This window comes from Homo sapiens, chromosome 11 (genome assembly GCF_000001405.40).
Source record: "Homo sapiens chromosome 11, GRCh38.p14 Primary Assembly".
In the NCBI taxonomy this organism is placed as follows: Eukaryota; Metazoa; Chordata; class Mammalia; order Primates; family Hominidae; genus Homo; species Homo sapiens.
The window spans coordinates 22,159,952-22,171,160 of NC_000011.10; the positions used below are offsets into that span (position 1 = coordinate 22,159,952).

General features: G+C 38.0%; 1 long non-coding RNA gene across 1 annotated transcript in view; it reads right to left on the reverse strand.

Annotated features, from left to right (window-relative positions):
• LOC124902645 (uncharacterized) overlaps positions 1 to 9,972 on the reverse strand; it is a 74,729-nt gene extending 64,757 nt beyond the window's left edge. The window contains exon 1 of the long non-coding RNA XR_007062622.1: positions 9,817 to 9,972. This is a non-coding gene — a long non-coding RNA (uncharacterized LOC124902645). The remainder of the gene's footprint in view (positions 1 to 9,816) is intronic.
• Positions 9,973 to 11,209: the final 1,237 nt, after the last annotated feature.

Consider the following 11,209-nt stretch of genomic DNA (forward strand, 5'->3'; position numbering starts at 1 on the left):
CCCCAAAGTGGGAAGAATGGGAGTGGAGAGGAGGTTGAAAAATCACCTACTGGTTACAGCATTCACTACTCGGGTGATGGGTGCACGAGAAGCCCAAACCTCACTGCTTCTCAATATATCTAAGTAATAAACCTCCACATGTACTCCTTGAATCTATAAAAATAAGTAAATAAATAAAAAGAGGGCTGTTAAAGGAAAGACATCACACTGGACAAGACAGTAAACACCCAAGTTAGTTTTGTTCCAATTTGATCACCAGCAATAGGAGAAAGGGCACAAAGTCTGCACACTCAGCTCCACTAAGAAAAGGGGGAGAGAGTCTTTATTAAGAGCTGGGGTTGAGGGTCATAAGCCATCTGTGTTTGCTAACTGGCCTTACCCATAGGAAAAGAAGACTTTCTTATGTCTTCCTAACTGGAGGTCCTTTCACAACTTGGAACAAAGCATTTGCTGAAGGTAGGTTCCTAACCTTCCACAAAAACTGGGAGATAGGGATGCTATCTTCCTTGTTCATTATATTTCAAAGAGTACATTTCCAAGTTTTTAGGAAAGCATTTTCTGGGTGGTAAAACTAGCAAGAGGCTTTTTAAAATATTAACATCTCAAAGGAGCAGAGAATTTAGGATTACAAATATTCTAAAGTCAATAATCCAAGAAAAGAGAGGTGAGGGGCTTAATGTAGAGAATAAATATGTCTAACGGTTAGTCAAGCTGAGGGAAACTTTAGGCCTTATTGGTCAGAGGCCATTCACTTGCATATACACAAGTATATGTGGAGAAACCATGGTAATAACGTCAGAAAGGCTAACTCCTGAACAGAAATAACATAGGTTCACTCCAGAAAGACAGCTGCTATATTGGAAAAGTATATGACAGTTGTCATAGGAGCCAGGTAAAGCCCTGCACTTAGATTTGAAAAATGAACACATCTTTCCAAGACTGCAGACATTTTATGGAAGCTCTGTTATGCTGGATTTTCCATGCTGACACCCTCCTCACCCTTCCACTCTTCATCAGAATGAACTTGTTCCATATTCCATTTGCTGTCTCTGACAAATCAATTTTTGCTAGGGTAATAAAAGGTACACTAAGAATTACAAGATGATTGACTATTTTAAGGCAACATATAGTCTGCTATTTAGTTGCTTAAATATTGTAGTTGCTAAAATAGATGAAGCCTTAGTCACATTTCCTAACAAGGAACAGTGACTGTCTACTTCTACAATGCTGAATTTTATCCATTTATAAAATATACTTTGTTGATTTTTCTTAAATGCTGTCTGCTTTACTTGGTATCCATTCTAAAAAAAAAACTGAGTGAATGTAAAAGCTATACTCAGTGCTTAGATTTATCTAGGAATCTTCCTTTTAAGTAATAAAAGCAATAATATTTATATTGCTTTTATATGTTATCATGTAGCATACTCATATGTACTTACATGAATATATAGAACTTCATAGTTTGAAGCTGCTTCTCTAGCTACTAATTCATTTCATCTTCACAACAATCCTTGAAGAATTATTATCCCAATTTTACAAGAGTTAAGTGAAGCTCACTGATGATAGTGGCCGAAGTCTTATGCCAAGGAAATGTCAAAGCTACTAACAGAAAAACAAGAGAAATTGTTTATGGCATTGGCTTCCAGAGGCCTCCATCTTAACAGGGAGTCCTTTGCCAACTTTGAAATAAGGAGTTTAGGCTAAGTGAGGTTCATGTCTCTTTCAGCTCTGAGTTTGTGGTTTTGCCTTGGTGGTTTTTGTAATTACAACTTCAACTCTGTGTCCATATGATACCTTGCATGGTAATATATTTGCATTATTAAAAGGTCTTCTGAAGTCCAAGTTGTTTTTTAAAAGAAAAACTCAACTTTCATGTTCTACTTTGGTAAAAGAAAGAGGCTAGATGAAAATATATCTAAGATACTTTTTCAGTTCTATTAATTTACAAAGTGTTTAACTTTTTGTTTTTCTCATCTCTTTCTGCTTTAAATATGCTTACCAATATTCTTGCATTTTTATGTAAAGTCATTAAAAAATCTGTCTGCATTCCCTAAACACACATGCACAAGCAACTTCAGAGGCTCAGAATCTACCAGCCTGAGTCCACCAACTAGCAATGAGCCAGAGATCTGCTTTTCTGCTTTTACTTGACAAGAGATTTAAATATAGCCAATTCAAGAATATTACAGTGTTCCCTTCCCAACCACAAGTAACATTTCATTCGTTTCACTGAACATTTATTTTCTATCCAAGGACTCAAATGAAACCACATTTAAGAGAATGCTCTATGACAATGGTTGTACTTATACTGTGTGTACTCTGAAGTACTTGGCAAAGGTTCCGCATGCTTGCATTAAGAATCGGATTGGGGGTGGCATTATAAAACTAGAGTGATTGCTCAAAATCTATACCTTGCCCTCCTTTAAATTATGTAGCTACCCAACCTTAAATTTAAACATAAAATTTATAGGCTGGGCACAAAGTGGCTCACGGCTGTAATCCCAGCACTTTGGGAGGCCAAGGAGGGTGGATCACTTGAGGTCAGGAGTTCAAAACAAGCCTGGCCAACATGGTGAAACCCCATCCCTACTAAAAATACAAAAAAATTAGCGGGGCGTGGTGGCAGGCAACTATAATGCCAGCTACTCTGGAGGCAGAGGCAGGAGAATCACTTGAACCCAGGAGGCAGAGGTTGCAGTGAGACGAGATCATCCCACTGCACTCCAGCCTGGGTGACAGAGTGAGACTCTGCCTCAAACAAAACAAAACAAAACAAAACAAAACAAAAACCATAAAATTTATAGTATGTAGTTAAAGAAATAAGGCAAAAAGGAGAGAAGACACTACCATTCAGTTGATTTTGTGTACTGTAGATTAAGCAAGCTGTGAAAAAGGCAAGGACGGTGCATAAAGGCCTTCTATCTCCTGCAATCCTCCTCCAGCCCTGCTCTCATTGCCCTCAGCTTCTGTTCAGCTGCCAAGTGCCAGCGTTCCCTCAACTTACGCCAATCCACAACCTCTCCACCCAACAACATACTTCCCCCAGCCAGCCATGTAGACAAGTAATCAGCCAACCCATGCTGGTGTATCTCTTACTTTATAATTGTCACTCCCTACCATAATTGTCTCCTTTTTTTTCTAATCCTAGGAACATTCCCATTTCTTACCTATGTAAGAAATTCTTGGCTGTAAATAATAAGTATATGATTTACCTTATGTAAGGCTAAGAGTCAGGTTTTGGAACTAGGCAAACTGCTCTGCTACTTATTGTGTGACATTAAGTAAATCACTTAACCTCCCTGAGTCTTACTTTCTTTATCTGTAACATGGAGATAATATTACTGTCTTCACTGGGTTTTGTGAGCACATAGTTTCTGCCCTGAAAATATAGTCATTGTTGTTGTTGTCACTTTAAAAAAGAGAAAATTGTTCCAGAAGATAACTCATTTTTTTTTTTAACAGCGGTTTGAAGTTGCATGATCTTGTGGTTAAAAAAAAAAAACAATGATACTACACTGGACTGGAAGATTTCAGATCTAGTCCCTGCCTCACTTCCTCATTGTGTAACAGAGGGCACTAGAGACACATTGCCGAAGAAGGATTTTCCTTTCTGGTTCTGATGAGCTGGCTCAGAAGCCCTCTGCAGCCCACACAACTTCTCCCATGCCCAGCTGTTTCAGTGAACTGCTTCTCTAGTGCCCAGTTCCTGTACCAAGTACAGCTTCCCCAGAGCCTAGCTCCTGCAGCAGACAGTTATCAGGAGCACCCAGTAGGCAGCAGCTTCCCCTGCCATCCGCTCAACCAGGCAATTTTGTATTGGAATGCCTCAGGCAAGACAACTTCTGTGAACAACTTTTTCCAGTCTCTAGAGTGTAGATTTTCTGTAAGTTTCTAGAGGGCAGATTTCCAGCAGTTTCCACTAGTGAGGTGCCACAGCAATTTCTCTGCCATCCAATGAACCATAGCAGAGCCTTCTCCCAAAAGATCTGGGTCTCAGCCTGGGAGCTGGGAGTGGATCTTCCTTGGCTGCTGTATCTCAGCCTATCTCAGTCTGGGAGGTACTGGCTGCTCTTTATATTTGCTACTCCCGTATTCCTTAGAATTCTCTTTACTTCTTAAGAACCAAACCCTTATTGTGCCAATCCCTTTTTATAATTAATAATTCTTTAAATTTTTCCCATTCAAATTACCATGTAGTTTTTGTCTTCTGATTGGACATTGACTGATACACTCAGAAATACTATTATTTCCAGAATGCTATTGTTAAGAATGAGATCTTTTTTTTTCCTTTTTTTTTTTTTTTTTGACACAGATTTTCGCTCTTATTGCCCAGGCTGGAGTGCAATGGTGTGATCTTCGCTCACTGCAAGCAATTCTTCTGCCTCAGCCTCCCAAGTACTTGTGATTGCAGGCATGCACCACCACGCCCAGCTAATTTTGTATTTTTAGTACAGATGGGGTTTCACTATGTTCAGGCTGGTCTTGAATTCCTGACCTCAGGTGATCCACCCACCTCGGCCTGCCAAAGTGCTGGGATTACAGGCATGAGCCACCGCGCCCGGCCTAGGAATAAGATCTTGTAATTTCACTGCTAAGCCTCTCTAAGGAGCATTGTTTTGGAGGTGAGACGTCAGAAGAAAGTAACAAGGCTTTTGGAATGGCAGAACCACATGTGAAAGACACAAAAACCTTCACTTAGAATACAAAACAGATATGCATAGAGCCCAAAGTCATCTAAATAATCAAGAGGGACATTCATAAGTTTTATTTGGTTTTGTACCACTTAGAGTTAGCTAGACTGCAAAGTTAAGGTCACAGTCCTCTAGACTGCCAAGTCTGCCCAAGACTTTTGAAACAGACAAGTTTGGGAGGCTCCCAGAATCATCCCCAGAATCATTCTTGGGCTCAATAATTTGTTAGAAAGACTCACAGAACTCACTGAAAGTTATTATACTCAAGGTCACTTTTATTAAAAGGAAAATATACAAATTAGAACCAGACAAAGGAAGACACACAAGGCAGAGTCTTGGAAGGATCCAAACAAACACAGGGCATCTAGTCATCCTTTCTCCAAGGAGTCAGGGATGGACAGGGTTACCTCCTTCTGGCCACAAGCTATGGCACTACACATGGGTATTGCCAGCCAGAGAAGCTCAATTGAGGTTTGATGTCCAGAATTTTTATTAGGGTCCATTACTTAGGCAAAATTGATTGAATCACGCTCCCTGAAGGTTAAACTGAGATCACATGGTCAGAAGGGCTTACCATGAGTTACCTTTATAGCATAAACTATTAGCGGATCCAGATCAAATGACAAAGACACTCCTATCAATAAGGAAATGCCAAAGGTTCCAAGGTTACCTCCCAGGAACCTGAGACAAAGGCCAGATCTCTTTATGACCTGGCTAAATTCCTTGCTACTCATGTACCAAATACATTGAAGAGCTGAAACAAAAGAAGTTATAGTAATTATTACCCTAAAGACAGATTTTCTTGGAAACAAATGTAGTTGTTTCTATAAGGTCAGTCTCATTGGAAGGATAATAGATTGGATATAAAAAAGGAGAAGGAGCAGCCAAAAATGTCATAGGGTTTTCCTTTTCTTCTGTCTTCTTTTTAACTTTTATTCTAGGTTCAGGTTTACATATGCAGGTTTGTTATATATGTAAAGTGTACCTTATCAGTTTTTAATTATTTTTTCAACCTTGGGATCCCAGGTTTTATGTACTCGCATGGAAAGCTGATTTAGAAGTGAAATTTGTCACATTAATTTCCTGTTTTCTTTCTTTTATATGACATCATTTTCATCTCTGTATACTTTCATGCTTCATCTCATTATAGATTTGCCTCTATAACCATCCTGAAAGCACAAAGAAATTATTCTATGCCTCTTTTCTCCCTCCCCAACTCCAGGAAGAGTTAGTATATCAAAACGTCACTATCCCACCAGAATCTGTGGTCATGTGGTCTCTCATGTTCTCTTTCTTCTTGTTCTAAATAGTTTCATGTGCTCAGTGATTAGATCACTGTTTTGCATGTGTATGTGTTCAATTACATTAGCAGTGATCCAGGGAATGCCATAATGTTATTATATATAGTGAATGGTCAGGACACTATACAGGCTGTCTGAAATAGATGTAAAATGTTATTTCCATGGCTGCTTTATCATTGTATTTGGTCCAGTTAAATTGTATGTGGTAAAAAGCAAAATAAAATAAAGGTGAGGAAAGCAGATTGGATACGCTATAAATTCACAGAAACCAACCCTGATATAATTGCAACACTATTAGTTCATCCTTCTACATTTATATGGTGAGCTCATTTTCTTCTATCACTACACTTATTACTCTATCATCAAGTCTTAACTCTCCATTTTATTCTTAAAATTAAGCAGATGATGTCACCATTTACCTTACAGGGAAAATACAAACATTACATATACATGCACACACTCACACAAATACATCTCTTCCCTGCCAAGAAATACGCAAATTTGCCATATATACATAACTAATTTAACAATATTTCTCCCTGGTTAAAATAAAGTGTATCTCCTTTCTATCTAAGGGCAATGCTTTCCTACATGCTTTCAGATACATCACCTTTACTTTTCTCCAGAAAATTGGATTGTTGATTAACATTGTTATTCCTTTTCCTTCTCATATGTTGCAACATCTCTGTGGATTCTTCCTTTGGTGTTTAAACATACCCAAGTTTCTCCCAATTAAATATAAAAGTCCTTCCTTCAATACTACATCCTATACTAGTTAGCAGACTATCTCTCTTCTCACCTTTAAGGCTAAATTTCTATAAAGAAATATTTCAACTCACTTCTAACTCACTCCTCAAACTACTCTAGCCTGGAGTTTTGCCTCCATCATGCTACTGAACCATGTCTCATGAAGATCACCCAAAATCTCCTGTTACTAAATCTGTTACTGGTGGAGGGTATCTGAGTTATCAGTGGCAAATCTGTATGAGTCTGCAGCAACTTCAATTCTTGCCTCCTCCGAATAAAGAATTCAACTGAGGGTCATAAAGCAGAAGAAGAGACCAAGGTGAGTTTCAGAGCAGGAGTGGATGTTTCTTTTAAAAGGCTTTAGAACAGGAAAGAAAGGAGGCCTATCACCTGAGGTCAACACAGCAAAACCTCATCTCTACTAAAAATACAAAAATTTGCTAGGCGTGGTGGCAGGCGCCTGTAATCCAATTACTCAGGAGGCTGAGGCATGAGAATTGCTTGAACCCAGGAGGCGGAGGTTGCAGTGAGCCAAGATTGTGCCACTGCACTCCAGCCTGGGCGACAACGACAAGAGCAACACTTCCCTCTCAAAAAAAAAAAGCAAAGTACACTTAGAAGAGACCAAAGCGGGCACCGAGGTCAAGTGTGGTGTTTGATCCTAGATCTTTATAGGCTGGTCCCTTTCCCATTGTTCTTCTTTTAAGGTGGGCTGCCCATATGCACAGTGCCCTGCTAACCCTTGGAAGGTGAGCATACGCAATGTGTTTAGGAAGTTGTATGCATGCCCATCTGACTCTTTCTTCTGTTTTCCGGTGGTATGCCCCCAGAAGATCGTACTCCACCATTTTGTCTCTTAACGTGCATGCCCAGAAATTTGCTTCTCCCTGGCATCTGCGTTGAATGAAACACTTTAGTGCAACAGGTATGGATCATCAGGAAATGGCCTCTCCCTGGCACTGGCTTCCAATTTATCACTTTTAGAGAGGCAATGTGATCATTGCCAAATCATCATCCAGCATTTCTAGTGGGTGGCAGGGAGAGCCCTCTCCTGCTCTGTTCATGCCTGTCTAACTACCTGTAACAAATCCAATGAATAATTTTGGTTCTTATCTTGCATAAGTTCACAGCACTCTTCAACTCTTCTGACCACCCTTTCCTTCTTGAAACACTTTCTTCTCCAAGATCCCAGGATATCATATTTTCTTGATTTAGTAACAGCTCTGCCTACCTGCTTTGAACCTTTTGGCCTTCTTTGCTTAGCCATTTAATGTTGAAGTTCCTAAAAGTTCTATTAAGACTCTATTATATTGTCACTTTGCACTTTGTAGGAACCATCATCTATGCTTATGTCTTCATTGCTACTGAAACATAAATGACTCCCAAATCTTTATCTTCAGCTGAGATAGATCCTTTGTATTTCAAATCTGAATTCGTAAACCAGCTTGACAACTTGTCTCAAAAGATCTTCAAATCTAATATAGCCAAACTAACCACACTCATGACTCTCCTTTCACCAAAAATTGTACCCTTCTTGGAATGGGCCATGTCTCATCCATTCCATCGAATAAGACAGAAATCTAGGGTTTATCCTTAATATCTCCCCGTCTCCTACGTCTTCTATCCAATCGATGACCAAGTTAGAAAATTTTATCCCTTAAGAATTTCTTAAAGACACCTTCTTTTTAAAATCTCCACTGACACATTTCAGTCCAAGACTAATATCTCTTCAAAACAATAGAAATAATCTCCTCACATGTGTTACTGTATTCTTGTTTATACATCTTCTCACCCATGCCAAACCAATGCATTCACCATCCTAGAGCCAGAGTGATTTGATCATGACACCTCTGCTTAAAATATTTTGGTAGTATTGCTCTTCAGCTACAGATTTTTCCACTTCTCTTAGACTACAGATCAAAATCCTTGAGTAGCTTACAAGACAGTTTGTCCTGGCCCCTATTCATCTCATTCTCCACCAGCCCCCATCCCTTGCTTGTTTTGTTTTAGCTACATTAACCATACTTCAATTAATAAAAATGCTATGCTGCTTCTTGCCCCGTATTCTGCATAAAATATTCCTACTTCCTAACTGTACCCAGGTAACTGGTAATTTATCTTTAGATCCCACTTCATTCATCACCTCCCCTAGGAAGATTTCCTGATACTTCTGTATAGATCAAATCTTCCTATCAGATAGTCTCATAGTAACACTTATTACTTCTCCATTATGTGTATCAATTCGATAATGTTATAAATATTTATGCAACCATTTAGTTAATCTCCACTCTAGGACTATACACATAAGGACAAGGAATATATCTATTTATTGCACTCCTGGAACTTAACATAACACCTGATTATCATTAAATTTTGTTAAGCATATGAGTAAGTGAAAAAAATTGCTAGTTTTTGAAATATAAAATAACTTACAGACAGCAGAGTTTATGCATGTGAGGGTAAATTTCAACAACTAATAGGAAGGGAAATTTTTTTGAATTTCTCTTTTGCTGCCCTTATTGCTCAAATCGCATTCCTCAAGAAACTGGGGAGTCTCAGAGGTGACCCAGGGGTCAACTAGGGATTAGACAAGAGGGGAAGTTAAATGGCAGGGACCAAAACAATCCCAAGCTCCCTGCTCCACTTTAGCCAGATTATTTTTGATGTTGCCTGTGTTATGCAGTAGAATTCCATGGACTGTTTTGTTTGAATAAGTGTATACTCCATCTGTGCCACCTCAAAAAGATTTGGAAGTTACTGAACTAGCCAATTTCAGTGTACAGATGAGAAAGCTGAAGCCCATATTAAGCAAGTGAAATAAGCCAAAGCTGCAGAGTTGGTTGATATCAAATCTTTATATTACATGGAAAAAAATAAAAAAATCCTCAAGACTGGGAAAATCCCCTGGAAAGAATATAGTACTCTTCTGATAACAAAGAAAAATAGCTCCTTTATGCCTCTTCCTTTCTCTTCTTTGCTAGTTCCCCTTCTCTCATGCTGATTTTATTCTCACAATATTTGCTAACGTATCATGAAATGAACTTCACAGGATCAATGTGAATATTTCATTTTCTTACCTTGTAAAGGATGGTCACTCTGGTAACTAGGTTTCCCACTCAATTTTCATTCTTCATTTGCCAGATAGAAACCCCATGTATGTATTTTAAAGCTGAAATTCTCCCAAAATAACGAATTGACTGGCACTCATTTTTATTTCTGGACTAAATTTGAAAATACTTAAGCATTTCCTCAATCTGTATACATACAATTCATTTATAGCAAGGAATCCTAAATAAACAGAAAACGGAATGGAAGCAAAATGTATTGTTATCCTTTCTTTGTAAACACTAGAGGGCACTAAATACTGAAGAAAAAGTTAGAAATTTTGCAAGGCATACACAAATATATCTCACTAGAAGGACTAAATAAATTAAAATAATATACTATATATGCTCTTGAGTCTCTACCTAGATAGAATATATACACTACTTCAAGATAGGGGAATGCATATTTACAGTAATCTAGAAAAACATATCAGGAGAATATAATGAAAATCAACTAGAAAATGATCTATTGTTCGGGAATTTTAAAGTAATGTAAAATCTGTATCGAAATCACATATATCATTGCTTCCCTCTCTCTCTATCCCTCTTTCCCCCCTTCTCTTCCTCCCTCCTTTCTTTCTTATCATCTCTGTCCTTATCGCTTTATTTCTATATCCTTCTTCAGCTATAGCTCTAGCTTTATCCTTTGATTATATATGAGATAATTTTATGTAATATAAAATTTATATATATAATTATAAAATATAAGGCAATTATGTAAAACTCTAATATTCCAATATAAACATGCTTTACACATGTAGCATAATCACTAGTGGCCATGTATGTATATAATGTATATACTATATATGTATGAAATATATATACTATATACATATATAATTTTGAGCTACAATAGTAATCAAGCAATGAAATAGAGGACAAAAACAAAGTTATAATATGCAATGCTGGTAAGCAGATAGCAAAATAGGCCCTCTCATATACAAAATGCATGCGTATTAAACTGGCAAAAAAAAAAAAAACTCAGAAAGCAATGTGGAAACGTGTGGATAGGTAGGTAAGTAGGTGGTTGGGTGGGTGTAGCTAGCTAGATAGGTAGATAGATAGATAACAGATAGATTTTTAAACCTGAAAAATTGTATCTCTTTAAAACTAACAAGAAAATAACCAGAGGCGTGTAAAATATAAATGTACAGAGAAATGTGCCAGAGCAATAGCATAGTAAAAAAATAAAAATAAGCTTAATGCTTTACAGATTACAGTCTGTAATCCCAGCACTTCAGGAAGTCAAGGCAGGCCAATCACCTGAGGTCAGGAGTTCAAGACCAGCCTGGCCAACATGGCAAAATCCCGTCTCTACTAAAAATACAAAAATTAGCTGGTCATGGTGGTGTGCACTCAGTTACTT